Source organism: Homo sapiens, chromosome 19 (assembly GCF_000001405.40).
Source record: "Homo sapiens chromosome 19, GRCh38.p14 Primary Assembly".
NCBI classification, from domain to species: Eukaryota; Metazoa; Chordata; class Mammalia; order Primates; family Hominidae; genus Homo; species Homo sapiens.
In genome coordinates, this window is record NC_000019.10 from 14136713 (window position 1) to 14164248 (window position 27536).

The 27536-nt window shown below is 55.2% G+C and overlaps 1 protein-coding gene and 1 long non-coding RNA gene across 22 annotated transcripts in view, besides 5 other annotated features; one reads left to right on the plus strand and one right to left on the minus strand.

Annotated features, from left to right (window-relative positions):
* Window positions 23–162: an enhancer, noted in NCBI's record as "active region_14156". NCBI's record gives its function as "activates an Ori minimal core promoter by ATAC-STARR-seq in GM12878 lymphoblastoid cells {active_cell/tissue: GM12878}" and the evidence as "EXISTENCE:reporter gene assay evidence [ECO:0000049][PMID:35858748]".
* Window positions 240–866: an enhancer, noted in NCBI's record as "NANOG-H3K27ac-H3K4me1 hESC enhancer chr19:14247764-14248390 (GRCh37/hg19 assembly coordinates)". NCBI's record gives its function as "activates a minimal SCP1, AML or CMV promoter by ChIP-STARR-seq in naive H9 embryonic stem cells {active_cell/tissue: H9 hESC(naive)}" and the evidence as "EXISTENCE:reporter gene assay evidence [ECO:0000049][PMID:30033119]".
* Window positions 363–522: an enhancer, noted in NCBI's record as "active region_14157". NCBI's record gives its function as "activates an Ori minimal core promoter by ATAC-STARR-seq in GM12878 lymphoblastoid cells {active_cell/tissue: GM12878}" and the evidence as "EXISTENCE:reporter gene assay evidence [ECO:0000049][PMID:35858748]".
* ADGRL1-AS1 (ADGRL1 antisense RNA 1) overlaps window positions 440–27536 on the plus strand; it is a 34113-nt gene continuing 7016 nt past the window's right edge. The window contains exons 1-2 of the long non-coding RNA NR_045214.1: window positions 440–511; window positions 18440–18767. This is a non-coding gene — a long non-coding RNA (ADGRL1 antisense RNA 1). The remainder of the gene's footprint in view (window positions 512–18439; window positions 18768–27536) is intronic.
* Window positions 6265–6559: a silencer, noted in NCBI's record as "tiled region #12148; HepG2 Repressive non-DNase unmatched - State 23:Low". NCBI's record gives its function as "represses a minimal TATA promoter and a strong SV40 promoter by Sharpr-MPRA in HepG2 cells {active_cell/tissue: HepG2}" and the evidence as "EXISTENCE:reporter gene assay evidence [ECO:0000049][PMID:27701403]".
* The window catches only part of ADGRL1 (adhesion G protein-coupled receptor L1), a 58427-nt gene continuing 41921 nt past the window's right edge, over window positions 11031–27536 (minus strand). For 9 of the 21 annotated variants that reach the window (XM_011527798.3, XM_011527796.3, XM_017026475.2 and 6 more), the window contains 19 exons: window positions 25873–26694; window positions 24600–24914; window positions 23881–23984; window positions 23400–23585; window positions 23023–23061; window positions 22689–22872; window positions 22378–22503; window positions 21626–21840; window positions 21170–21340; window positions 20539–20748; window positions 20213–20433; window positions 19946–20012; window positions 19398–19489; window positions 18647–18815; window positions 16072–16200; window positions 15805–15901; window positions 15597–15725; window positions 15421–15510; window positions 11031–14903 (listed from right to left, as the gene is read on the minus strand). In XM_011527798.3, the coding sequence (XP_011526100.1) occupies window positions 14161–14903; window positions 15421–15510; window positions 15597–15725; window positions 15805–15901; window positions 16072–16200; window positions 18647–18815; window positions 19398–19489; window positions 19946–20012; window positions 20213–20433; window positions 20539–20748; window positions 21170–21340; window positions 21626–21840; window positions 22378–22503; window positions 22689–22872; window positions 23023–23061; window positions 23400–23585; window positions 23881–23984; window positions 24600–24914; window positions 25873–26694 (4109 nt within the window). In that variant the 3' untranslated portion in view covers window positions 11031–14160. Of the gene's footprint in view, window positions 14904–15420; window positions 15511–15596; window positions 15726–15804; window positions 15902–16071; window positions 16201–18646; window positions 18816–19397; window positions 19490–19945; window positions 20013–20212; window positions 20434–20538; window positions 20749–20887; window positions 20981–21169; window positions 21341–21625; window positions 21841–22377; window positions 22504–22688; window positions 22873–23022; window positions 23062–23399; window positions 23586–23880; window positions 23985–24599; window positions 24915–25872; window positions 26695–27536 lie in introns of those variants that run through there. The other 12 variants (XM_005259818.4, XM_017026477.2, XM_047438415.1 and 9 more) reach the window with 6 other exon arrangements.
* Window positions 11166–11909: an enhancer, noted in NCBI's record as "H3K27ac-H3K4me1 hESC enhancer chr19:14258690-14259433 (GRCh37/hg19 assembly coordinates)". NCBI's record gives its function as "activates a minimal SCP1, AML or CMV promoter by ChIP-STARR-seq in naive H9 embryonic stem cells {active_cell/tissue: H9 hESC(naive)}" and the evidence as "EXISTENCE:reporter gene assay evidence [ECO:0000049][PMID:30033119]".

Below are 27536 nucleotides of genomic sequence, written 5' to 3' on the forward strand. Positions count from 1 at the left end.
AGACTCCTCGGACCAATCAGCGGAGCTCCCTCTCCGCAGCGTGTGAGGAGGGCGAAACTATCTCCAAGCTTCTTAGCGTGTCCGCTGGAAACCAATCCCCAGCGTCTCCGACTTGGATGTCAACGGCGGGAATGGACGGAGTCACAGCGCCGGCCTCCTTCTGGCCAATCCTGAGGGTTCCCGCACCGGCGTGGCCCGCCCCTCGCCTCGCTTTTCCGGGAGATGCATCCCGCAGCGCGCAGCGCCGCCACCCGCCGAGCGGTGGCGCGCGGCGCTCGCTAAAGAAGGCGGGAAGGGCGGTGCTCGCACCCGAAGTGATTGGCAGGAGGGAGTGGGGCGGAGATAAAGAGGGTTTTCTGAGAGTTTATTGGCTGGATTGGTAATGGTGGCGGGAGCAGAAGGAGGCTCAGCTGGGGATTCGCTGGAGAGAAGCGGAAGTCGAGCGCCACCGCGGTGTTGGCGAGTGTGAAGAGAGAGGAGGAGCGTTTGCGGCCTCAGCGTCTGTCAACAGGTGAGCGTTTCCTGGAGCTTTTCTGAGTGGCTCCTGACCCTTGAGGTCCAGCGGCGCGGGAGTCCGTTGTGAACGTTGCGAACGTTCGGAGTGGCGGTCACGAGGCGCGCTCAGACCTCGGGAATCCGGCCGGGTTCGGATCCCGCTTTCGCCCCCGAGGGGTTCGGATCCCGCTCTCGCCCCCGAGGGGTTCGGATCCCGCTCTCGCCCCCGAGGGGTTCGGATCCCGCTCTCGCCCCCGAGGGGTTTGGATCCCTCTCTCGCCCCCTTGAGGGCTCTTGGGAGGTTTCAAGCGGACGGTACTGAAAATGGGAGTTCCAGTTCGGGGGCAGACCAGTGTTCAGAGTCCGGGCTCTGCTACTCAGCGCCCGAGGCAGCGCCTCCCCATTCAACGGGGGCCGTGGCAATTCCCTGACATGATTCATGACCACATAATACATCCGGAAACTTCTCTCCACCGCCTCCCGTCTGGGCCGTCGCCCCCGGCCTGGGAGACTCCAGGTCTCAGAGTCTCTGCCCCCACGGGCGATCAGTGCTGCCCAGTGGAAAAATAATGCCAGCCGCGCACCAAAATTAGGTGTAAAATTAACATTTTTTGGAAGCCACTTTTTTTTTTTTGAGATGGAATCTCGCGCTGTCACTCAGGCTGGAGTGCAATGGCGCGATCTCGGCTCACTGCAACCTCTACCTCCCGGGTTCAAGCGATTCTCCTGCCTCAGCCTCCTGAGTAGCTGGGATTACAGGTGCCCACCACCACAACCAGCTAATTTTTTTTCTGTATTTTCAGTAGAGACGGGGTTTCACCATGTTGGCCAGGCTGGTCTCGAACTCCTGACCTCAAGTGATCCGCCCGCCTCGGCCTTCCAGAGTGCTGGGATTACAGGCGTGAGCCACTGTGCCCGGCCATATCTTTTTTTATTATTATTTGTAATTTTAGAGGCTGGTCATGGAGGATTTCTTGAGGCCAGGAGTTCAAGATCAGCCTGGGCAACATAACAAGACCTCATATCTACAAAAAATAAAAGAATAAGCCAGGTGTGGTAGTGCATACCTGTAGTGTCTGCTACTCCTGAAGCTGAGGCAGGAGGATCTCTTGAGCCCAGAATGCTCCAGCCACTGCACTCCAGCCTGAGTGTCAGAGTGAGACCCTGTCTCTAAAAATTAAAATTAAATTTTAAAAAAGAAAGTTCAGTTTAGCTGTCTTGATAGCCGCAGTTGAGTGCTCCTGAGCCCGTGTGACAAGTGGCTCCTGTATTACTGGACAGCGAAGGTCAGAAACACATTTGACCAGGTCACTTCTCCGGATGAGAGCATTGTCTTTGAAACTCTATGCTTTGTCTCCTGTTAACCACCCAGCTCCAACTTCAAACCAGGCTAAGTAACCCTCTTTTTGTTAAAATTCTGACAAGCCACTCCCAGTGCAAAGCCTCTGCCCAGAACCTCTTCTCCTAGGCTCTTGGCATGGCTTATGCCTTCTTGTCATTCAAGTCTCTGTTCAAATGTCCTCTCCCCAGAGAGGCCTTTCTAAGGGTGCTCTGGACAGTGTTCAAACTCACAGGCCGTACGCCTGAACAGCACTGAGCCAAGGCACTAGTATTTCTTACCCAGTCACCTCTGTGGGCTCACTAGGACTCACTCACTGTGCTAGTATGTTTTCCTTTTCCTTTTCTTTTTAAACAATCCAGTTCCTGTGGGATTTTTTTTTTTTAATAGAGGTCTGTTGCCCAGGCTGGAGTGCAAGTGGCATAATCGTGGCTCACTATAACCTGGAACTCTTGGGCTCAAGTGATCCTCCCACCTCAGCCTCCCGAGTGGCTGGGATCACCAGTGCGTGCCACCATGCCTAATTTGTTTTATTTTATTTTATTTTTTTTTTGAGAGGGAGTCTTGCTCTGTCACTCAGGCTGGAATGCAGTGGCGCAATCTCAGCTCACTGCAACCTCCTGCTTCCAGCTTCAAGCGATTCTCCCACCTCAGCCTCCCGAGTAGCTGGGACTACAGGCACACGCTACCTTACCCAGCTAATTTTTGTATTTTTAGTAAAGATGGGGTTTCACTATGTTGGCCAGGCTGGTCTCAAACTCCTGACCTCAGGTGATCCACTCACCTCGGCCGCCCAAAGTGCTGAGATTACAGGCATGAGCCACCGTGCCCTGCCTCTTATACTTTTTAAATTTTTTGTAGAGACAGGGTCTCGCTGTTGCCCAGGCTGGTCTTGAAACTCCTGGCCTCAAGCAGTCCACCTATCTTGTCCTTAAGTGCTGGGATTACAGCGCCTAGCCCATTTTTGGTATCTACATCTCACATTAAGTTAAGAAAAATTCTTTTTAGCTGTTAAAAAATCGAAAGCTTTGTTTTTATTCTTTTGAAATTATTTGGCTTCAAGGAAACTCACATTTATGATTCGCTTGATTTCTTGGCAATCATTGCATACTTAGGGATATTTGTGATTTGAGAAAATCTAATTTCCAAATGTAATTCGATTGCTTATGAATACTAAATTTAATGATTAATGCAGTTGTCATGATGTCACATTTCTAGATGCTTAATTAAACATTTATTCATTCCAACTTTGTAGTTTTCTCTTTGCATTGTGGAACTTTTTTCCCTTTATCCCTGTCCCTGACCTTTTCGTAGCCCCTGAGAAGCTCATGATCCACCAGCATTATTTCCGTGGCGCTAATGAAGAATGTGGCCCTGTCTATGATGCATTCTCCTTACAGCTGGCTGAATGATCTTCACTTGTAAACCAGATCATGTCATTACTCTGCTTAAAACCTTCAGAGGCTTATCCTACTTAGAATGAAACCTAAGATCTTTCCTATGGCTTAGGCGGCCCTGCGTGGTGGCCTCAGCTGACCTCTCAGGCCTCATCTACCATTCTTCCTCTTGTCACCGCTCTCAAGCCCAGCTGGCTTTATTTCCCTTCTTTCAACACACCCAGCTTATTTCTGCCGCAGGGCTTTGCACTTGCCGTTCCCTCTGCCTGGAATGTGCTTCCTCCAGATAATTGCATGGCTGTCTCTTTCTCTTCGCTTGTGGTTCAGCTCAAATGTCCTCTGAAAGAAGACTTCCCAGAGTACCCTATTTAAAGTAGCACTTTCTTGGCCGGGCGCGGTGGCTCATGCCTGTAATCCCAGCACTTTGGGAGGCCAAGGCAGGCGGATCACGAGGTCAGGAGATCGAGACCATCCTGGCTAACATGGTGAAACCGCATCTCTACTAAAAATACAAAAAATTAGCCGGGCGTGGTGGCGGGCGCCTGTAGTCCCAGCTACTTGGGAGGCTGAGGCAGGTGAATCGCTTGAATCTGAGAGGTGAGGGTTGCAGTGAGCTGAGATCGTGCCTCTGCAATCCAGCCTGGGTGACAGAGCAAGACTCCGTGTCAAAAAAAATAAATAAATAAATAAAGTAGCTTTTTCTTAATCACATCACTCAGTTTTATGATCTTAGTAACGCATATCAGAATTTGTACTTATTTTCGGGTGGGCATGGTGGCTCACACCTATAATCCCAGCACTTTAGGAGGCCAAGGCGGGCCGGTCACTTGAGGTCAGGAGTTCGAGACCAGCCTGGCCAACATGGCAAGACCCCGTTTCTACTAAAAAAAAAAAATACAAAATAAATAAATAAATAAATAAATAAATTAGCTGGGCGTGGTGGCACGTGCCTGTAGTCCCAGCTGCTCAGGAGGCAGAAGAATTGCTTGAACCGGGGAGGCAGAGGCTGCAATGAGCCGAGATCACGCCACTGCACTCAAGCCTGGGCAACTGAGAGAGATTCCATCTTAAAAAGAAAAAAAGAATTTCTACTTATTTTGGTTTTAAATTGTGCTTATTATCTCATCATCCCTCAGTAGATTGAAAGCTGGTTGTGAGAAGAGATCTCGCCTAGCTCACACCTCTCAATGTTGTACTTCCAGAGCTTAGCAGAGGACGTGGCTCATAGAAAGTCCTCAATCAATTTTTCAAAAAGAATAAATCTGGCTGGGCGCAGTGAGTCACACACTCTGGGAGGCCGAGGTGGGCGGATTACCAGGTCAGGAGATCGAGACCATCATGGCAAACATGATTAAAACCTGTCTCTACTAAAATACAAAAAATTAGCCAGCCGTGGTGGTGCGTACCTGTAGTCCTAGCTACTTGGGAGGCTGAGGCAGGGGAATTGCTTGAACCTGGGAGGTGGAGGTTGCAGTGAGCCTAGATTGCACCACTGCACTCCAGTCTGGTGACAGAGGAAGACTCCGTCTCAAAAAAAAAAAGAATAAATCTATGTAAAGGGTGGGTTTAGCATAGTACCTGGAATGTGAAAAGTACTCAATAAACATGAACCAGCCAGGTGCAGTGGCTCACGCCTGTAATCCCAGCACTTTGGGAGGCTGAGGCGGGTAGATTGCTTGACCTCAGGAGTTCGAGACCAGCCTGGGCAAAACCCTGTCTCTACAAAACATAAAAAAATTAGCCGGGTGTGGTGGCATGTGCCTGTGGTCCCAGCTACTCAGGAGGCTGAGGTGAGAGGATTGCTTGAGCCCTGGGGGCAGAGGTTGCAGTGAACCAAGATCTCACCACTGCACTCCAGCTTAGCTAGGCAACAGAGTGAGACCCTGTCTAAAAACAAACAAAAGACTGAACTGTTAGTAGCATATAGTAATAAGCAGATACGTCTTCATTCTTGTTTAATACTTCAGGTGCACACATGCTCGAGAAAGTATAAGAAGTGCTATAGCAAAATACTGTTACCCAGCTTAACAGCTAAAACATTAGAGATGCAACTGAAGGGCCCTATACCCCTACATCAAACCCATTCCTCTTCCTTTTTCCTCACATGTAACCACAACCCTGAATTTGGTGTTTACAGTCTTCTGTGCATATCGGCGTGTATCTTTAAACAATATATAGTATTGTTTGTCATGTTCTATACTTTTATATAAATGGTGTCTGCGCAATTTAGAGTTAACCTAGCAGGCCTGAGACTGCTATCCTTAGAAAGACCTGTTTGCAAGATTGGCCCTTGGCTGATATCTAGGAACTTGGATTTCAGGAGGGTTCCTGCCGTTCCCCAAATGATGAGTGCCTAAACTGTTTCCACCAACAATGTGGTTCATGTTGAACACCTGCTCTCCTTCTGGAGTCTGGCATTTTGGTACACGACCACCCCCAAGTACAACTCTGGTCACTGAGTAATGAGCTTCCCTGGTAGACCGCCTATCCGTCGTGCTGTCATACTTGGCGGTAGGAATTGATGGAGTCCTGTGTGACTCCACTAGGAGAGGACTCTTAGAAGCTTGTCCTGGTTTCCTCTGGACTTCAGCTCCTGCATCTTTTCCCTTTGCTGATTGTGCCTTGTGTCTCTTCACTATCATAAATCACAGCCATGCCTACGCTTCCAAGCAAAATCCTGTGACTCCTCTTAGTGAGTCATTGAACCTCAGGGTGGTCTTGGGGACCTCTGATAGCAGGATCATACTGGGTGTATCCTGACAGAGCTGGCACTAAGGTGGCACTGGGTCCTGCCTTCTGAAACTTGCTTTTTTTAATCCAGTGTAATGCTTTTGAGATTTATCTATGTGGAAACGTGTATAGCTCTAATTCACTTATTTTCACTGCTATACAGCTGTGCTGATAAGGTAACCACTAGCCACATGTGGCTATTTAGATTAAAATTAGACGAAACAAATAATCTACTTCCCCAGACACACTAGTCACATTTCACATGTTCAGCAGGAGCCTGTGGCTAGTGGCCACCATGGTGTATAGAGAACATAGAGAGGAAACATTTCCATGAGAACAGAGAGTTTTGTTGGACAGTGTTTATCAATTCACTTGGTTGAAATTTAGGGTGTTTTCAGTTTTCTACCATTACAAACAGTGCTGCAGTATGCGTTGGTATCTATGTCTCCTTGAACACATGTAGGAGTTACTCTGGGAGATAAACCTAGGAGTTGAAGTGCTGGACGGGGGGTTGCGGAAGTATTCATCTTTTCAAGATACTGCTAATCTGCTCTTCGGAATCATGGTACTGGTTCTCACTCCCCTCGTTAGTGTTCCTGTTGCTCAGTGTCCTTATCTTTTATTTTTATTTTTATTTTTGAGACAGAGTTTCGCTCTTGTTGCCCAAGCTAGAGTTCAATGGCACGATCTCGGCCTCCCGGGTTCAAGCGCCGCCTCCCGGGTTCAAGCGATTCTCTTGTCTCAGCCTTCTGAGTAGCTGGGATTACAGGTGTGCACCACCACGCCTGGCTAATTTTTGTATTTTTAGTATAGATGGGGTTTCACCATGTTAGCCAGGCTGGTATCGAACTCCTGACCTTAGGTGATCTGCCCGCCTCAGCTTCCCAAAGTGCTGGGATTACATGTATGAGCCACCGCACCCAGACATCTTTTAATTTTTATAATGTTTTGATGTTCAGCATTTTTAAAAATTATTATTATTATTATTATTATTTGAGACAAAGTCTTGCTTTGTCGCCCAGGGTGAAGTGCAATGGTGTGAACTTGGCTCACTGCAACCTCCGCCTCCCGGGTTCAAGCAATTCTCCTGCCTCAGCCTCCCGAATAGCTTTTTGGACCAGTCTCTCATGCCTGTAGTCCCAGCACTTTGGGAGGCCGAGGCGGGCGGGTCACCTGAGGTCAGGAGTTTGACACCAACCTGGCCAACATGGCTAAACCCTATCTCTTCTAAAAATACAAAAAGTTGCCGGGGTTGGCGGCGGGTGCCTGTAATTCCAGCTATTCAGGAGGCTGAGGCAGGAGAATCTCTTGAACCCGGGAGGCTGAGGTTGCAGTGAGCTGAGATTGCACCACTGCACTCCAGTCTGGGCAACAGAGTGAGACTCTGTCTCAAAAATAAACAAACAAAACATATATTCTGAGAATTAAATGAGACAAAATGTAGGAAAGAGCTTTGAAATGATACATTTCAGCATAAATGTACCGTCCCTAGGCACATGCAGATGAATGGGTGCCACTAACAACTACCTGAGGGTCAGAGGTTGTCAGGCACAGCAGGTTTATTTTTATTTTTGAGACAGAGTCTCACTCTGTCGCCAGGCTGGAGTGCAGTGGCGTGACCTCGGCTCACTGCAACCTCTGCCTCCCAGTCCCGAGTACCTGGGACTACAGGCGCCCACCACCACAACTGGCTAATTTTTTTTTCTTTTTTTTTTTTTAGTAGAGACGGGGTTTTGCCATGTTGGCCAGGCTGGTTTTGAATTCCTGACCTCAGGTGATCCGCCCGCCTTGGCCTCCAAAGTGTTGGGATTACAGGCGTGAGCCACCGCGTCCAGTCAGGCACAGTGGGTTTAGGTTGTGTGTAGTGAAGGGGAGAGTAAAAGACACAGAAGGACTGGTCATATTTGGCTCTCATTGTATGCGGGATTCGATTTCAAATCAGAGCATGAGGTCAAATCACATATAGTTAAAATTATCTACTCTTTTTTTTTTTTTTTTTTTTTTGAGACGTGGTGTTGCTCTGTCACCCAGGCTGGAGTGGAGTGTGATCTTGGTTCACTGCAACCTCTGCCTTTTGGGGTTCAAGCAATTCTCCTGCCTCAGCCTCTTGAATAACTGGGATTACAGGCGTGCACCACCACGTTCAGCTAATTTTTGTAGTTTTAGTAGAGTTTTGCCATGTTGGCCAGGCTGGTCTCGAACTCCTGGCCTCAAGCGATCTGCCCACCTCGGCCTCCCAAAGTGTTGGGAATACAGGCATGAGCCACTGTGCCTGGCTACAATTATCTACTCTTAAAAGTCCCCATGCTTGCCCACAGTGCATCTCTCAGAAAGTCTAGTAGATTCATTTCATCCTCCAGTGTGAGAACAGATTACCTCTTCTTCAGCTGGGCACCAGAGGAAATACTGATCTTAGGTTTTTGGAGCCACGCTGAATTAAAACCTTAGCATCACACGGTGAAACTGAACCCGCTGAGGGAATGGTAGATTCACAGTTTCTATCATTCTTTTTTTTCTTTTTAATATATTTCTTTATCCTTATTGAAGAGCTTCCATCGCCCTTCACTCTCATCTTGTGCTCACTTTGGGTCTTGTGCTGAATTCAGCTCCCATTCTTTAACAGAAATTTACATATCGCCTGTGTGCCAGATGCTATGCTAGGCTCAGATCAAGAACCCTTGCATTTTCAGATCTTACATTCTAGCCAAGAGGCAGATAATAAACAGATAAGCAAAACGTAATTGCTAGCCAGTAGTACTATGAAGACAGAGCAAGGCACAGACTAGGAAGTTCTGGAGTGGCTTGGGAAGGCCTTCTGGGAAATAGGATTTCATTTTCATAAACTCTGCAGGAGAGGAAGTCAACTCTGTGGATATGGGGATGGGGGAGGGGGCCCAAGCCAGCAGCGAGAACAGCCGGTGCAAAAGCCCTGAGGCAGGCAAGAGGGTGCCTGCATGTTTGAGTCCAGCGAGTGGACGGAAGGTAGGGAGGACGCCAGGGGGTGAGGTTGGAGGGCCTGTAGGCCATTGTGTTGACCTTTACCTGTGCTTTGGGTGAGATAGGAGAGCATTGGAGAGTTTTGAGCTGAGGAGGGACAAAATCTGTTTACCAAGATCACTCTGGTTTCTGTGTTGAGAAAAACCTGAAGAGGGACAAACGAGCTATAATATTTAGGGGACTGTTGTAGTGGCTCTGGTGAAAGATGGGTGAGAACTAATTAATTCTGGATATTTAGAAGTTAGAGCCACCATTGCATTTACTGTCAAATTAGATGTGGGGTATCAAACAAGATGAGTTCAAGAGAAGCTCCAAGGTCTTTAGCTTGAATCAAGGTATGGATGGACTCACTTTTAGTTGAGGTGAGGAAGCCTCAAAGCCTCACGTGGGAAGAACTACAGTGGTGGCAGTGGTAGAGATGGGGGTGGGAGAGGCCAGGGTCTCAGTTTAGGACAGGTTAGTTTGAGATCCTACCAGATACCAGGCAGAGAGATGGGGTAGGTAGGTGAATATATGTAAATCTGGAGCTCAGGTAGGAGTTCAGGCTGGAGAGCTACGTTTGGGGGTGATCAGTGTATAGGTAGCGTTTCTTTCTCTCTCTCTCTCTCTTTCTCTTTCTTTCCTTTTCTTTCTTTTCTTTTTCTTCTTTCCTTCCTTTCTCTTTCTTTCTCCGTTTCTCTTTTCCTTTCTCTTCTCTTTCTTTTCTTTCTTCTGATGGAGTCTCAGTCGCCCAGGCTGGAGTGCAGTGGTGCGATCTCAGCTCACTGCAACCTCCGCCTCCTGGGTTCCAGCGATTCTCCTGCCTCAGCCTCCTGAGCAGCTGGGACTACAGGCGCTCGCCACCACACCCAGCTAATTTTTGTGTTTTTAGTAGAGACGGGATTTCACCTTGTTGGCCAGGCTGGTCTCGAACTCCTGACCTCGTGATCTGCCTGCCTCGGCCTCCCAAAGTGTTGGGATTACAGGCATGAGCCACTGCACCCACCCGGAGGCATTTCAAACCATGAGATGGGGTGAAACCTTCCAGGGAGTGAGAGAAAAGGTCTAAGGACTGAGCCCCTGGGTTCCCCATCATTAGGAGGTCAGATGAGAAGGAGCCAGCCATGAAGACTGGGAAGGAGTGGCTGTTGTGGGGAGGTGGGTGGTGTCCTAGACACAGGTATCTTTTTAAGGCAGAGGGGCCCGGAAAAGGATCCTTGTAGTTTGAGTAGTTATGCCTCTCTCTGAGCATGGGCAGTTCGTTGGTGAACTGACAACGTGAAATACACATGATGCAATTCCACCGTGTGTCAAGTTTGAAAGCACTCCCTGCCAGTAGCGTGTGGGAGTGTAGGAATGGCAATTGTAATGAGACATCACAGTGTAAAATTCCTGAGCTCTGCTCTAGTACAGCCTGGGGACAGACGTCTGGGCCAAGAAGGGCTTCTGTGAGACAGCATGGAACAGTGGCCTGGTCAGAGAGACTTGGGCATGCATCTGAGGGCTGTAAGCCTCAGTTTCCCCATCTGTAAAATGGAACTCTAATCGCTGTCTCCATCTGGGAGGATTTTGTGAGGATTCAGAGAAACTGCACATGAAATGCTCCACCAGGCCCAGGAACTTACCAAGGTCTCATAAACGTGAATGATTCTATAACTGTCAAGCCTCTGCCAGGGGTTCTGAATGCTCGAGTGCAGACCAGAGCCCATGGGGACGCCCCTGTGCAGATCTGCTCAACCATTTCTTTCTTTCTTTTTTGAGACAGAATTTCACTCTATAGCCCAGGCTGGAGTGCAGTGGTACGATCTTGGCTTACTGCAACCTCTGCCTCCCAGCCGGGTTCAAGCAATTCTCCTGCCTTAGCCTCCCAAGTAGCTGGGACCACAGGTGCTTGCCACCACGCCCAGCTAATTTTGTCTTTTTAGTAGAGATGGGGTTTCACCATGTTGACTAGGCTAGTCTCAAACTCCTGGCCTCAAGTGATCCACCCACCTCGGCCTCCCAAAATGCTGGGATTACAGGCCTGAGCCACCGCGCCCAGCTATTCACCCATTTCTTACTCCCCCACTCAAGAAGTCACACCACTCTTGTCATTCCAAGAAATCTTAATTTCTTTATTGTTTGACTTTTTGACTCAACAATTTTTTTAAAACTTTTTGTTTTTTTCTGAAACGTTCTTGTTGTTATGAGCCTTTTGTTTTGTTCTCGTTAAATGCACTCGACCCAAAATTGGTTTGGCATATCGAAAAGGAGACCAAGGAGGGAGGGGCTGGGGCGTGGGAGGTGGGGAGGAGGCCCGAATGGACAGAAAGTTGAGGATAAGAGAAGAGGAACATAGAGACAGCCAGAAAGACATGGGGAAAGAGTGTTGGAGACAGAGAAAGGGGAAGGCAAGGGAAAGCCAAAAGAAACCAAAATCCAGAGAAAAAGAATTAACAAGATTTAGGAGCAAACGAGTTCAGGAGCCTAAGGAAGGGAGTAGGAGAGGAAACCAAGACCCTTCTCTGTACCGTCCCAGCTGGGGTGGGGGCGTCAAGGCACCAGGTCTGGTTAGGTTGGGGGGACACCTGGGCTCTGGGGGCGGCTTTGCACTGGACTGCAGTGATGTCCAGCCCCAGCAGGGGGCCCTGCCACACAGCTCTGAGGCCTGGAAGCCACCCGGCGATGCCGGCTGGAACAGGACCCGATACACCCTCTCTCCCTTTGATTGTCCGAGTCTGGAGAGATACAAGGAAGGCTGGGCAGGGAGGAAGTTGGCCTCTCTGTGTGCCTCAGCCCCCTGGAACTCTCCTGGCCCTCCTCCTGGTGTCGGGGGCAGCCACAGGCTGGGCTGCTTCCCGGGACAGGCCAGCTCCTCGCCTGCTCATGCCTCCTGCCCGCTCTTCACAGACCTCTGACCACCCCTCCACACAACAGAGCTCCCAGCCTAGTGCAGTCCGGGAAGGGCCATGGAACTGTCCCTTGCCCTCCTCAGAGTCGTCTGGCAAGACTGTCCCTGGCCTCACTTCTCCTCCCCATCTAGACTTCACCCATGGTCTTCTGGTGTAATGGGTTAGGCCTTTCTACCAGAAAAAGCCAGAGTTGGAACCCAACCCCACCTCTTCCCCACACCTGTTCCCTTACACGGGACAAACCACCATCTTTGGTCTGACCCCTTCTCCCCTAATTGATGGGGACAAGCCAGCCCCAGCTCCCCGGGAGAAGGGAGGGGCTTTCTAGCAGCAAAAAGGGTCCCTCCAGCCACCTACCTGTCCCCTTCCCCCCAGTTCCTTCCTAGAGCCCCTCCCCCTTAACCCAACAAAGTTCATGGCAGCAGCAGGCTGAGACCCGAAGATGTTTGAAAACTCATGGCACTTGTGAGAAAAGGAGGGGCAGAGAGATGGGGAGAGGTCAGAGCAGAGGTGGAGGGGCCACCTCTGGGGAAACGGCAATGCAGGGGCTGGGCTAGGGTGGCCTGGGGCTATGCTGCCCCTAGAGTTGAGGGAAGGGGGCTGGGGAGGCTGGCCTGACAGGCTGGAGAGGAGGGGGCCGGGACAGGTGCTCAGGACACATCCCGAGCCTGGAGCTTCCGGGGTCTGGGATTTGGGGTCAAGCCGCCCAGAACATGGGTGTCCCGACCCCAGCCCTGGCACCTGGCTTCGTCTTCCCTGCGGGAAGGTGGAGGATAGGGAAGGTGATCTCTCACCTTTGCCCCTCCCCATCCCCCAGACCGCCTTGCCGTTCCCAGCACCCTCCTCAGCCATACCCATGCCCTCCACAACCCCAGTGCCTCCCCATTTTCCTTCTGCCATCAACCTCTCTAGGTGGGAAATCAGCCCCATCTTCCCCGGCGAGAGTCCCCAGAGCAATATACAAGAAGCAGGAACTCAAAGGGACAGCGCAGCCATCTTGACAAAGCATCTTTGGGTGTGAAGAGGTCTCCCCCGGGCCGGTGGGGAGGGAAGGGGGAGACAGGCCTCTGGTCCTGGGGCAGGCAGTGAGAGGTACACGCCCCAGAAGGGCTGATGATGCCGGGCAGGCGGAGCAGGAAAGGAGGGTGCCAGGAAGGAAATGGGTTCTTTGTTTCGCTGTTGCATCTAGATTTTGTTTTCTGTCTCTGGATTGTAAAAAGCTGCTCTGGCGGCCCGCCCGCCCCGGCGGGGACTGGGGATGCACGTACACGGAGAAGTCCTGGCTGCCAGGCCAGCAGCGCTGCTCTGCTCCGGAGAAAGCCCGGGCTGGCCCGGGCCGCAGGCTCCCGGTGGCTTCAAGTGATGAGATTTTTTTTCTTTTCTTTTTTTTTTTTTTTGTCTTTTTTTTTTCTTTTCCATTTCGTTGAAATATTTACAGCAATGGGGAAGGAGGAGGAGAGAGGAAGGAGTAAGAGGGCCCCCTAGGGAAAGATCCAAGCCCAGGACCCACTCCCCAGGGAGATCCAGACCCAAAATCTGCTCCCCAGATAGCCGAGCCCACAGGACTGGGAACTGCCCAAATATGGCCACCCCTGTGGGCTGGGGGCCCTGCGGGGAGTTGTGCTTCATCAGGAGTCGCCCCAAGGGAGGGGGTCATTGGGTGCACTGGGAGGCAGAGGGGGCAGGTTTGCTTGCGGGGCAGGGACCAAGAGCAAGGGGAAAGGAGCTTCAGAGAAAGTTCAACCTTTAAACCACCAGCCACCACCGCCCAGTCCCCCTGCCCTGCGGCCTTTTCCCAGTCTCCAGGGAGCAGGGAATTACAGCGCAGGAGGAACCTGTCCATCTGTCCTGCCTCACTGCTCCCTCTGGGTGCAGCCGGCAGCATTTCTGGCTGCGGAGAGGAGCAGCTAACAGGTTCCATCCAGTGGGGGCCTTTGGCAACCTCAGAAGCTGCCCCTCCCTGCCCAGGAAACTAAAGCCCTCATTTCCCTTCACAGGGTAGAAGGGTGGGAGAGGGGAGAGTCTGGAAGTGGGCTGCACCCTTCCAAGTTCTCCCTCCTCACTCCCCTGGGGTCCTCTGGGCTCCTCCTCACTACACTTCCCCCAAATAGAGCTGGTGCGTGTGGCTGGTGGGAAACCCTGTCTGTGAACCCTGGCACCTCAGGCCCCCAGGTTAGAGTCCCCTGAGGGGACTGTAGGGCCCATGGCTGAGGGGCACCTGGAGAGAGTGGCCCACCAGCCACTGCCTCCATCTGTCTCCCTCTCCCACCAGAGCCCTGCCCAGGGTTCCCTCCCTGGCCTGGGCCACCAGCCCCTGGTCCATGAGGTGCCCTCAGAGACTGGTGACCAGCTGCATCTGCCCGTCCCCATCGGGCCCTGGCCCCTCAAGGCCTGGGGCTGCCAGGTAGCCCTCGTGGCTAGGACGCCGCACCTGGTAGTAGCCCTGCAGGGGATTCCGGGCCACCAGGGCTGGCGGGCGCGAGGTGTAGTAGATTTCGGGGGGGCCGGGGGGTGCGGGAGGGGGTGGGGGCAGGGCCTCACTGGGCCCCTCAGGGCTGCTGTCCGGGTAGGAGGGTGAGTCCCGCAGGTTGGCCCCGCTGGCATAGAGGGAGTCCCGGCCAGGAGGGGAGGAGAGGGGCCGGCTGGTGGCGCCGTCCTCGGCCGTGCAGCTCTCCGACTCGTCCAGATCGCTCTGGTACAGCACCGACTGGGCCCGGGGCAGCAGCAGAGGCTCCTCCAGGGCCTTATAGAGAAGTTCAATCTCGGCCCGGTCAGCACCCCCGGGCCCGCCCGCCTCTTCCTCGCCCCCGCCCCCTGGCACAGGTGGCACAGGGGGCTCAGGCGGTGGAGGGCCCTTGGCCGCGCTGCTGCTCCCCCGCAGGTTGTTGTGCACCAGCTCTGAGATGATCATCTTCTCAAAGGCCGCCGCATCGGCTAGGTTCCGGCCTCGGGGCGGCTCAGGGCCCCCATCCCCGGGAGGGAAATCCCCACTTCGCAAGGAGTAACTGTTATTGAAGTTGCCGTTCAGGGGCAGGGTGTCCATGCCACAGGCTTCCCGGCCTCCCAAGGGGTGCTCTGCAGGGCAGAAAGGGGCTGGTCAGGTTGAAGAGGGGCCCTGGATGCACTAGGGGACAGTGAGGGGGTGCGGTCCATGTGGAGAAGTGGGCTTGATTCCTGCTGGTTTTCCGTAGGCTTCCCCCTGCCCCCTGGATCTCTGATCTCACATTCCCTTTCTCCCTCACTGGCACTAGACACACCAGCCCAGCAGCGTATTGATGAAAGGTGGGGGACAAGGACCAGTTCCCCCAGGATCTCATCCCCAGCTGGAGGTTCAGAATCTCAGCAGTGTGAGGAGGCCTGGGCAACAGGATCGCTTTCCTGTGCTCAGACCCTCAGCACTTAACAGCCCAAACTCAATGAACACCATCCATTATCCTCCATTCGGCTGCCAGAGGCTGTGTGTCGGGGGGTGGGGAAATGTGGGCATGGGGAGGCATCCCGAGTTCTCCTCCTTAAGTGAGGCCGTCTGAGAAGGCCACTGTCTGTCCCTCTCCCAGCCTCAGAAACATCCCCAGGGAAGAGTCACACTTACTGGGTTCCCGGTAGCTCCCTGCAGGTGGCAGCCAGAAGAGAGAAGAGAAAAGGCAAGGATGAGCTCGAAATGCAAGTCCAGGCTCCAGTTCTGGGGCACAGAACATCCCATGCAGAGGTCCCTTGGGACACAAACCCTCCATTTCCCAACCTGGGATGTTTCCCCCGTGCTCTCACCTGGGGAGTTGAAGACAGGGGGCGAGGAGGGATTGAAGCCCACTGACTCGGCGATGAGGGTGTTGTAGGGACTGGTGCCCCCACGGGGCTGCAGCACGGGGTTGGTCAGCAGGTGGTTCCCCATGGTACCTGGCCAAAGGATCAGAGGTCACAAGGCAGCCGGGAGCCTCCAGAGACTGAAGCCAGAGGCAGAAGGATGCCTTCTCACCTCGGTTCAGGGTGGGGGTGCTGTTGATGTCACCCGCCATGAAGGAGGACTCCGTCTGTTTCCTCACAGTGTCATTCCACATCCTCCGAATTCGGCTCTGGGAACACAACCCAAATGTGAGGGGATCCTTGGGCCACCCACCCTCTGGCGTCTTTCTGAGACTGCTCACCTGATCATCACGATCAGAAACCTAGGCCAAGCCACTCCCCACCTCTCAGGCTCCAGGTTCCAACACTCAGCCCCAGGGAGTCCTGTCTGGCCCGATACCTGGGTCCCTGTGTAGTAGCGGGTGTTGCTTCGCATGGCTGAGGTCTTGAGGGATCCGTGAGTGCCCCCGGGTGGGGAGCGGATGCAGCAGTAGGAGTGACGCAGGCACTTGCTGTACTCCTTGTGCACCTGGGAGGTGGAGGACAGTCAGCTGGCTGGGACACTGGCCTCCTCTGTGATCCAGTCTCCCACAGGGCTGGTCACAAGACAGGCAGCCTTGGGAGGCCGGAGACCGAGCTTCCAATGACTGTGTTCCCCTGTTCAGCGACTTGCAGGCCACGGAAGCCTTGATGTCCCCTGTCCCCCAACAGCCAGCCGATCAGGTTTCACTCTCTTCTTACTCAGGCCCATCCTCTTCTCCACCTCCTCTGACAGTTTTTCATTCATTCATAAAATCAACAGAGCATTATTGAGCATCCGCTATGTGCCAGGCACAATTTAGGCCTCAGGGAAGGTATGGAACACAACAGACACAAATCCCTACCTCTGAGAGCTTATATTTCAGTAGACAGAGACAGAACATAGATGAAAATATAAATATGCAAGCTGTTGGATGCTGTTAGGTGCTGCGGAGAAAACTATGGCCAGAAAGGGGGTTAGGCAGTGCTGACTTGGGAGCAGGTTGTGATTTTTTTTTTTTTTTTTTTTTTGAGATGGAATCTTGCACTGTCACTCGGGCTGGAGTGCAATGGTGCAATCTTGGCTCACTGCAACCTCCACCTCCCTGGTTCACACGATTCTCCTGCCACAGCCTCCTGAGTAGCTGGGATTACAGGCGCACACCACCACACCTGGCTAATTTTTTTTTTTTTTTTTGTATTTTTAGTAGAGACGGGGTTTCACCATGTTGGCCAGACTGGTTGTGATTTTAAATAGATCAGAGGAGGCCAGGCATGGTGGCTCACACCTGTAATCCCAGCACTTTGGAAGGCAGAGGTGGGTGGATCACCTGAGGTCAGGAGTTCGAGACCAGCCTGGGCAACATGGTGAAACCCCACCTCTACTAAAAATACAAAAATTAGCTGGTCGTGGCAGTGGGCGTCTGTAATCCCAGCTAGTTGGCAGGAGAATTGCTTGAAGCTGGGGGGGTGGAGGTTGCAGTGAGCCGAGATCGCGCCATTGCACTCTAGCCTGGGGACAGAACGAGACTCTGTCTCAAAAATAATAATGATAATAAAAAAAAAACCTAAAAAAATAAATAGATCAGAGGAGGCCTCATTTAAGCCAAGGTAAGAACGGGGGCTGCACCCTGAGGGTCCACATCTAGGTGTCTGAGAGCAGAGGTTGGAGGGAGGGGAGCCGAGGGGCCCAGATCAGACCATAGGGGCCTGGGGTCCCCTGAAAGGACATTGCTGCCACTGCGTGTGAGGTGGGGGCTGTGAAAACACTGCCTTTGACCGTGTGTCCAAGGAGGGGCCAGGACAATGTTGGACAGAGCAGGGACACAGGCCACCTCCTCCCTTGCAACCAGGATTCTCATGATCACTGCCTCTGCCATCCCCTGCCTTAAGCCTTACCTGCCTCACCACTCCCCAAGTCCAACAGCAGTCTCCATGGCCTGCACTGCTGCCAGGACTGACTCTACAAATGCCTCAGCTCCGTCTCCCCAGCTTCAGTCCTGAGGGTGCTGCCAGTATCCCCATTCCCTGCCCATGTTCCCCAGCTACTGTTGTCCCCTTTGGTTTTTTTAAATAGAGACGGGGTCTCTGTTGCCCAGGCTGGTCTTGAATTTCTGGGCTTAAGCAATCCTCCTGCCTCAGCCTCCCAAAGTGCTGGGATTACAGGCATGAGCCACTGCACCCAGCCCTTTGTATGTGTGGTTTTTTTGTTTGTTTGTTTTGGAGACAGAGTTTTGCTCTGTTGCCCAGACTGGAGTGCAGTGGCGCAATCTTGGCTCACTGCAACCTCTGCCTTTGGGGTTCAAGCAATTCTCCTGCCTCAGCCCCTCAGCCTCCCAAGTAGCTGGGACTACAGGCGCCCACCACCACACCAGGCTAATTTTTATATTTTTTAAGTAGAGACGGGGTTTCACCATGTTGGCCAGGCTGGTCTGGAACTCCTGACCTCAGGTGATCCGCCCGCCTCAGCCTCCTAAAGTGCTGGGATTACAGGCGTGAGCCACCGTGTCCGGACTGTATGTTTTTTTAAGATTCAGATTTTAACACATTTATTTTAAAAAGATCCTTTCTATCACCACAAAATTCACAATTCTTTCCAGAACTATGAATGTAGGCAGTGCTCCCTCAGGGTGGCTCCCAAAGTCCTCCCTCTCCCAGGCCTGACTCGTGGCCCTCATGGTGGTGAGGGTTCCCCATTACCAAATCTGTTCTGCTCTCACTCCTCTAAGTTGCTGTATCTTGTTTTCCAGAACCCTCTTCACCCGTGGTTAAACCCTCCCTAACCCTGAGCTCGTGCTCCCCTCCCGGTGGACGCAGACCTGACCACAGAAGCCCTGCAGCACTCACTGGGGGCTTGAGGGAGCCCCTGAGTCCCCTCCACCCTCGCCGCCTTCTCCTGGGTACCCAGGAAACGTCTCCAAGGGAGGCTGTGACCCAGGACCCCGCCTCGACCTCACCTTCTTCTGTAAGGCGCAGTGAAAGACGAAGATGAAGACCCCCTGGAAGGCGTTGAAGGTGGTGAAGAGATAGGCCATGACCACCGACTCCTTGTTGATGAAGAGGAGGCCGAAAGCCCAGGTGAGGCCCAGCAGGAACAGCAGCGCGATGGCCCCCAGCGCCCAGGATCTGGGAGTGGGGCGACAGGGGAGTCAAAGTACCCGCCGGAGGGGACGGCCTCAGCCCAGGCCTCCCCTGCAGCCTACAACGGGGGCCCTTGGGTGGGCCTGGGCACTGTCTGCAAAGCCCTGAGCGGGCCGAGTGGGCCTTGGGGGCAGTGGCCTGCCCAGGACACCTCCACCGGAGCCTGGGCCTGAGGGAAAGGTACTGGGTCAGGGGTCGGGGTATTGTGAACATCAGTTATTCCTCTGCCAACTTCATTGTTTCTGCTAAATTTCCAGACCACTTAGGCTATATTTGCTGCCTATTTCTCTTTAAGTTGCCCTTAAACAGACTCACCTTTTGAATTTAGCCTCAGCCTACATACCGATGCCCCTAAAACCACAGGTTGGACGTGCTAATGATACGCTATCTAAGACCCATTAAGTAGGTACATAGTGAACACAATAGAACACCCCTGTTGGTACTTAAAATTGCAATGTGTGTCACCAGAGGTGACAGCACTACCTTTTAGGACACCCTGGAAGAGGTGGGCCCAGCGTGGGGCGGGGGTGGGTGATGGGGCAGGGGGCAGGCAGGGGCGAGGCTCACTTAATGTTGTCCAGGCGGCTGGAGTCGGGCTTGAGCACAGATGAGCTTCGGATCATCTTGTGCAGGGTCACCATGAGGAACACCAGGTTGACCTGGGGGCGGGACAAGGGGCAGGCTGGGCTGAGAGTGGCCCTGCCTCCCTCAGTGAGCACTGAGGCTAGGGCCCAGCCTGGCGAAATCTCAGCTGTGGCCCTCGCCTCTGCTGGGAGAACCCCGTACCTGCCCCTGAGGTGCCCGCTGTGCAGCGGTGAGCTGATTGGCATGACCGGCAATTTAATGCCACTCCTGGCTGCTGGGAGGACAAGGCCCATGGCCTGACACACACTAGGGGCTCAAATCACAGCCCCCCAGGCGAGCAGCCCTCAGCACTGGAGCTCCATGGACCCAGCACACTTTCATCCTCTCAGCCGGTGGCTCAGTTCCGATGTGTGGAGAGAGAGAGAGTGTGTGTGTGTGTGGGGGGGGTGGGGGGCGGGGGCAGGGGCTGGGGTCAAGGCCAGCCTGGATGAAGGAAGATGTGGTGCTAGGGGTGTCACCTCCCAACTCACCACGATAACGAAGGAGACTGGCCCGATGAAACTCCAGATGAAGTAATTGTCCACTCGGAGCCAGCAGCTGTAAAGGAAACAGGGCCGGGGTATAGAGAGAAGCCGAGGAGCCATTCCCAGCGACTCATGAAGGCCTAGGACTCTGCAGGCTGCAGCCTCTGGGATCAGGAGGAGGAAGGGACTACCGCCCTGAGGGTCCTGGTCCAAGGGGTGCCGCCCAGCAGGGAACCAGGTGGGAGGGTGCAGGGCTGGGAGGTGGAAACTCACGCCTTCTCGGTGCCGTAGCTGCGGTAGTCAATGGCAGCCGCGATGCCCACCACCAGGGCCGGGAAGCAGTAGCCACCCAGGTAGTAGTACTTGGTGCGGGAATACTCGCTCTCAAACACCTCCACTAGTAGCAGGTAGAGGTGCACGCCCTCCAGGCACAGCCAGGAGAAGGCAGCCAGGAAGAAATAGTGCAGCAGGCCGGCGAAGATGGGGCAGGCAATCTGCGGGGAGCACTGAGGGTGAGGGGCTGCTGCCTGGACAGGTGTCCCCCTTCTTCTCCCGGCCCCCAGGCGCTGGCCGTCACCTGCCCTAGAGTCCCAGCCCACCTCATACTGAGTCTTGTCGATCCCGACCAGGAAGAGCAGCTCAGCCAGGAAGAGGTTGATGCACAGGTTCTTGTGGATGGTGTTGCGGTCGGTCTGCAGCCCCCGCAGGAAGCAGAAGGTGGAGATGCAGATGGCCAAGCAGACCAGGGAGATCACAATGCCCACCCAGGTGATGACCGACAGCAGCAGCTCGTTGATGCGGCCCTGGTACTGGGGACAGGAACAGGGGGCACGCTCAGGGCCTTTGGTTTTGCACGCTGGGCTCAGCCAGGTGCCAGCCACAGACAGGGCCCTGGGCAAGGCCATGGGCCGTGAGGACCTCTGGTGCCGCCAACCTGGCAGCCCTCACCCCTCTGCACGCAGCAATGCGCTCACTTCCTCATGCTCTGGAAGGCTTGTGGAGAGATGACCAACGTAACACCAACTTGCTTCTCCAGAGTGCCTTGGGAGACGGTGGGATCATGGCCATAGAGGACCAGACGCATGGCCTCATGCCCCAGGCAAGACCAGGGGCCCCCCACACCCATGGGGCTAGCCTCCCCTGGTACTGCCCGTGATCTCTCTAGGATGCCATGCAAAGCCAGGCCAGCAATCGGGCCTGCCTGGAGGAGCAGAGCACCAGCCAGCTTACGATCTCACGGTGAGCCATGAGCACAGCGAAGTTGGTGAGGTGGCTGCAGGCACACGTGGTATGGGTCTTGTTGGACTCCACCAGGCGGCAGCCTTGGGTCGACCAGTAGCCCAGCATGGAACGCTCCGAGTAGTTCCAGAAGGAGCAGTTAGCATTGAAGTGGTTCTTGTCCTGTTGTGTGGTGGCACCAGGGTGTCATAACTAGAGTCAGAACCGGGGAGTCCCATTCCGACCCCCCACACCTGGCAACAGGGATGGTACCAAGTATCAAAGAAGTGCCTGGGGTCTGGGGCTCCAGTTGACATTCTGAGAGCTCTGGGGACAAATGGCCCAAGCTCTAAAGTGGAAGAACCCATAACTTGTTCTGGAGGTGAGCACATGGAGGGGCAGGTACACAGCCTGGGAACACAGAGGGTACAGGGACCCCCATGGAGGGAGGGGGACGGCTCAGCTCACCTCCAGGTGGGCCACGGTGAAGATGACAGGGTCCATGAGGAAGACGCGGCTGGACTCCTTGTTGATGGATGCTGCGATGACCTGTGAGTTCACCACTAGAGAGGCGCCCCCAGGGCCACCCGGGCCTGCTTCGCCGGCCAGCTTCACTGTGGCATTCTCCGTGGACAGGAAGAGGCCCAGGTTGTTGTAGAGGATGAAGACAACTTTGACCACCCCTGGTGAGAACAGGCACGTTTGGATGTGTCAGCATCCTCAGCTGGCGCACCTCCATCCAGGCCCCTGGCTTCCCAGCTCAGCCAGCTCCTCAGCCCTTGGCCACGCTGGCCACTGGGACCTCTGAAGCCAGTCCATAGCCCAGGCAGGTGGGGGTCAGGGAGCCCTGTCCACAAGACCACTGCTCAGCTGAAGGCAGTTCTAAACAGCAGGGCAGTGTGCCAGGACACACAAGCTGGGCCTCCGACCCACCCATTCTCACTGTGTGACCTTGGGCAAGCCCCTGACCTCTCTGAGCCTTCATCTCAATGGCCCCATCCTCTCTGAGCTGTGAGGCCCAGGAGCCAGCTTTGCAACTGTAAGGCTCACCCTTAGGGCTCTGCAGCACTTCAGGGCCCATGAATCCCCTCAAATTTTACACTAGCATGAGAAAAGGTCAGCACCGCTGCCCTCTACAAATGGCACAGAGACGCTGGCACAGAGCTGGGGGGTGGGGGTGGGGCTGCTTCCCCACCCGAGGCCCCGCCGGGGACACTGACCATTGCGGCTGTTCTGCTTGATGGTTTTGGCAGACAGCTGGATGGAGTTCTTTCTCGGGTACTCCTCCTGGGGGAACACCAGCTCCTGCACCTGGCCCTCTGTGTTCAGGACTGTGACCTCCAGGACTGTGGGGACAGGGGAAGGCAAGGCATACACAGTTGGGGTCTGTTCCCAGTCCAGGGGCTCAGGCTGCAGAACGAGACTCTGGCAAGATGCCCAAGGGTCGGATAGCCCCCCTGTGGCCTCCAGGCCAGAACCCCGTGGTTTAAGGTTCGTATCTGAGTTTGCCCTGGGTGACTGTGGCACTCACCCACGTTCTCCTTGGCAGCCAGGAAGCGGGCAGGCTCCCTGACATTGTCGGCCAGCAGGAAGGCGCCCTCCTCCAGGACGTCGAGGAGCATGGTGGCCGTGTGCACCTGCTCCGTGGCATTCATGTCCTTCCAGGACTCCAGAGCTTCTGGCCGGAGCAGATTGTCCACTGTCTCCACCACGGCCTGCACAGGCAGAGGGCATGGTGCTGTGAGCCCCCCAACACCCTCTAATTCCTGGGGGTGGGCTCTGCATGCCCTCTTCTCAACCTCCACCCCTAATCCCCCCATCAGCTGGAGCCCACGGTCCTTACACTGGGACCCCCTGGGTCTCACCTTGATATAATCCTTACAAGTTCTCTCTCGCTTGTGCATCTAGAAAGAGATGGAGGTGATGTCAGGCCAGGCCTCTGGGTGCCGGTTCCCTCACCCTAATACTGTCACATCTGGATAGCTCTCTCGTCTGCGGTTACCACTGACCCAGGGCTGGGCTATCAGCAAGACATTCCTCAGGGATCCCCAACCCCCAGGACCATCCGGGGCAGCACAGGAGTGAGACCCGGCAGTCCTTGGCGGAGAGGGGGGGGTCCTTCCTCTCTGAGGAAAGGAGTGGAGGTGGCAGCCTGGCTGGGAGGTACCAGGTCAGGTACTTCCCAAGCCCCTGGGGGCAGGCGCCCTCCCCATACCAGGTCAGCGCCACCGCCAGGCCCCACCTTGTTGTAGTTCTTGCCGGCTGACTCGCGCTCGATGGGCCGCAGGGCCTGCAGCTGGGCATCCAGGATGTCCAGCAGCTGCTCCATCAGCTTCACAGAGGAGGAGACGTCCCCCGCGTAGATGGAGCCCCGGGTGTGTCGGGCCAGCTCGCTGGCGATGTTGGCCGCGTTCTCCCCACTCTTGATCTGCATGAGGTGGGGGCGGGAAGGGGGAATCCCAGGACTGTCAGGGACCATCCTGCCCTCCCCGGCTTCCCTGGCCTGTGCAGCCTCTCCTATCTCTCTCTCCACTTCCCCATCGCCATCTGCCCCTTCCCACCCCATCTGTCCCTGCTCCCTTTGTAGGCCAGGGAGGTGACCCCACAGTCCTGCCTTCCAGACCTGCCAGCCCATGTCTCCCCAGCTGCTCCACGACCCCCGCTGGGCCCTGGGCCCTGGGCCCGAGCACATGTGCCTGCCTGCGAGGGGTGGTGGCTGGTACCTTCTGGGCCACCTGGTTGACCCAGGGGGAGGTGCAGTTGCTGAGGTCAGGGCCCCGGGGGTTCCAGAGCCCCAAGGCTGGTAGACACTGGAAGGAGGCAATTCCTGCAGGGACAGACAGACAGGAACAGACAAGGGAGCCAAAGGGAAGAAGAGAAGGATGGGACAGAGAGGGGGAAAGGAGATGACAGAGAGTGGGGGACGAGCGGGCGAAGAGGGAGGTGAGGGAAACACGGAGAAACAGACATGAAGCGGGCTGGACAGTCGAAAGAGGCGCCACTCACTTCCCCTGAGCTCTCCCTCCTGCCCCCTTCTGTCTTTGCCTCCAGAGTTAGAACCTTCCAGCAAGGCCCATCTTGAACGCCCCCTCTCCACGAAGCACCTGCCAACCCTCCCCTCAGATCTCCAGGACACACGGCCCTGCCCTTTTTGCACTTCAGCTGGCCATCCATGTGAAGCTGACTGTGCCTGGGGCTGTGGCAGGTCAGCCTGAGGCCGGGAGCCAGGTCACCTCCTGCGGACTCCCTGCAGGTTCTGCAGGTGGGGCCAGGGGCACTGAGTGGCTCCTGTGCCCTGAGAGCTCTGCTGGTCACTGGGGATGACCCCTGCCCTCAGAAAACCTCTGCTCCGCAGTAGAGACCCCCACCCACACATGCATCTGTGCTAAGCTGCTGGGGGCATGGCCCCCATCCCTCCCCTGGCTGCAGCCTCTGTACTCACCTCGAGTCCCCTTGGGGCAGGGCCTCTCCACCAGCATGCCCTGCTGGGTGGCCGGCCACTGGACCCGCCGTACCTCTCGGGGCTCGCAGAAGAGCTCAGGGGACACGTGTAGATTCGGGGCTGGGGGCCGCCGGGTGCTGGGGACTGGGGCTGTGGCTGGAGGCAGATCAGGTCCCAGCTGGTTGATGGCACCCACTGGGTGCGTGGTGAGGGGTGCCCGGCGGAGCGGGGTGGTGGCTGCGGGCGAGGCTGTGCTGGTGAGGGGCGTGGGCCTGGCTGTGGTGGTCGTGCTGAGGGGTGGGGAAGTGGCTGGGCCTGGAGAGGGGATACGAGACAGGGTCATCCCCATGCTCAGGGCCATGCCACAGTGTGCTTGGGCAGGGGGTCCCAGGCCATCTTAGCATCTTCCTCATCTACTGAAGTGGAAACACGTGCCGGGCCCCACTGGGTCTATGAGTTGATCTCCCCTGGCCGCTCTGTGCCCACCAAAGTCCCTTATGCCCATGGGCCCATATAAAGTAGCAAAGAGTGGTAAAAATCCACGATGTGTACCATAAGGTCTGAGAGAACGGTCAGGGGAGAGGCAGGGACAGAGGTGTCTGGGGGACAGGAATCCTCCCAGGTTGAGCCCGAGGGCAGGAGCCCTCCCCAATCCAGGTCAGCCCCGCCACCAGGTGGGGGCTGAATACCACCGCCCCCCATCCTCGTTCTAGCTGACTTTGGCTTATGTAACCTGGCTATGCTCCTTCCTTCTGGGGGCCTCAACTCCCCCTTTTGCAAACAAGATGGGGTTAGATCGGGCTCCCTGGAGCCCTGGGGTGGCACAGAGCTAGCAGGGCAGCTAGGCGGGGCAAAAGAAGACTGCAGAGTTGCCCTCAGCCCGGTCAGCATCAGCAGCTCAGCTCTTTTGTGGATACTGGACTTCCACCCAGGATTTTGGTGGATCCAAGGGTTCCTGGAGTAAAGGTGCCCAGGCCCCTGGGAGAGGCACTGCAGTTCAGTGGTTGGGAGGCTGGGTTCAAATCCTCAAATAACTTAATCCCCTACCCACACAGAGCCTCAGTGTCATCTGTAAAACAGGGCAGTAAGGATCCCTGTGTCATAGACCGTGAGGAGACGAGTTAATGACTGTGAAGTGCTTAGAACAGCGTCTGTCACATGCTGTGAATTTCCTTTACCTCCCGATCCCCAAGAGCTCACAGGATGGGGCTCCCCACTCTGGGACCCAGGGGTGGGTGGGGGTGGAGGGGACAAAGGCAAGCAGGCTCCATGCCTGGAAGTGAGTCGTCCTCACCAGCACTGGGGTCGGGCGGCCCGAACTCCAGGCTGTAGCGCACCACGAAATAGTTGTTCCAGACGTACAGCTGGTTGTCGCGAGGGTTGTAGTCAACGGAGGAGATGAACTGGTAGGGGTTGGGGAAGGTGAGGCTGACAGGCTCCTCGCGGTTGGCATTGGTGTTGAAGGCATAGTCCACGCGGTTGCCAGCCGCCTCGCTGTCATCATCCACGTACACGGAACGCAGGACGTACAGGACCCCACACACCATGAAGGCGTTGGATGCCGAGCGCTTGTCGTAACCCGTCTCCCACGTGCCCTCAAAGCGCAGTGTGTAGGGGTTCAGCTGGCTCACCACCAGCCGCCCGTTGTTGCCCTCAGTGGCGTAGATGACCCACAGCCCGTTCTCGTCCACCGCCAGGTCAATGTCGGTCTTTCCGCCCCAGCGGTAGGGCGAGGTGTCATGGTAGTTGGCGGTATTGATGACCGTCTCCCCGCTCTTGATGCGCGTCCGTAGGTCATACTTGACGATGTTGCGCGTGCGCTCCTTGTTGTAGAAGACGGCACCATCGTAGACCACAAAGCCTGTGCCATCCACGCGGTTGGGCAGGCGGTAGGTGGTGGTGTGGCGGGCGGCCACGTAGTCCTCCCACGAGGCATACTCAGTCAGTGTGTCCGTGCGGTAGGGGATCCAGGGCATCACGTAGATGCGGTCACCCGCCTGCAGCGGGTCCTTGCACCATGCGCCAGACTGGTGCTCTGACTCGTGTGTCGAGGTGGGCTCCAGCACCTTCTGCAGGGTCCCTGGGCACACGAAGACTGGGCAGAGTGGGCGGGAGGGGAGGAGGTAGGAGAGAAGGGGCAGAGGCGAGAGGGAGGAGAGAGAGAGAGAGAGAGAGAGAGAGAGAGAGGGGGGAGAGAGGCAAGTTGGTCACGCTGCTGGTGGGGAGCCAGGTTGTCCCCTCCTGCTGCTGCAGTCACGGTTGCTTGGTATGGCTGGTGATGGGAAGGGGGTTTCCGGGCTGGGACCCGACCCCCTCCCCACGCCCTGCCCAGCTGCCCCTCTCCCTGGAAATGTGAACCCTGAAGGCCATTAAGAGCGGGGTTAGTGAGGGGAAGTGGTGCCCCTCTTCCCTTCCCTGGCTGCTAGAGACCCCACAGGCTGGGGAGGAGTTTGGCAAGAGCCCTCCCAGAGGTGGTCCTGTGTGATTTAAGTGGGGGCAGAATCTCCCCGCTACAGTCACTCCTGACTTTGACGGTCCAGGGACTCAGCACCCGGCCCCTTCTCCCTCTTCTCTGCCACTTAGGGAAGAGCTAGGGTCCAGGATCCCATCCTTCACCAACCACACCCGGACAGTGTTTTTTTTTTTAACTCCTCTTTCTTCCTCCTGCAAAAATTGCAAGGTAGAGTGGTGTTTCCATACCCACTGTGGGTGTCAGGAGTGTCTCCCTATTCCAGGATAGGGGTTTCAACTCTCTCCCCAGGTTCCTGATGCAGCCTGCTCCCCACCCCCCACCCAGTACCCACGAAGTCAGTAGCCGAGGAAGGGATTCCCAGAGGCAGCTCCCAGGCTAGGACGGGGAATGAAAGAGTCTGGCCCCTCCTGGAGGGCGCCCAGCCCTGCCCCCAGCCGGCAGGGTCTCTCATGGGGTCTGGCTCA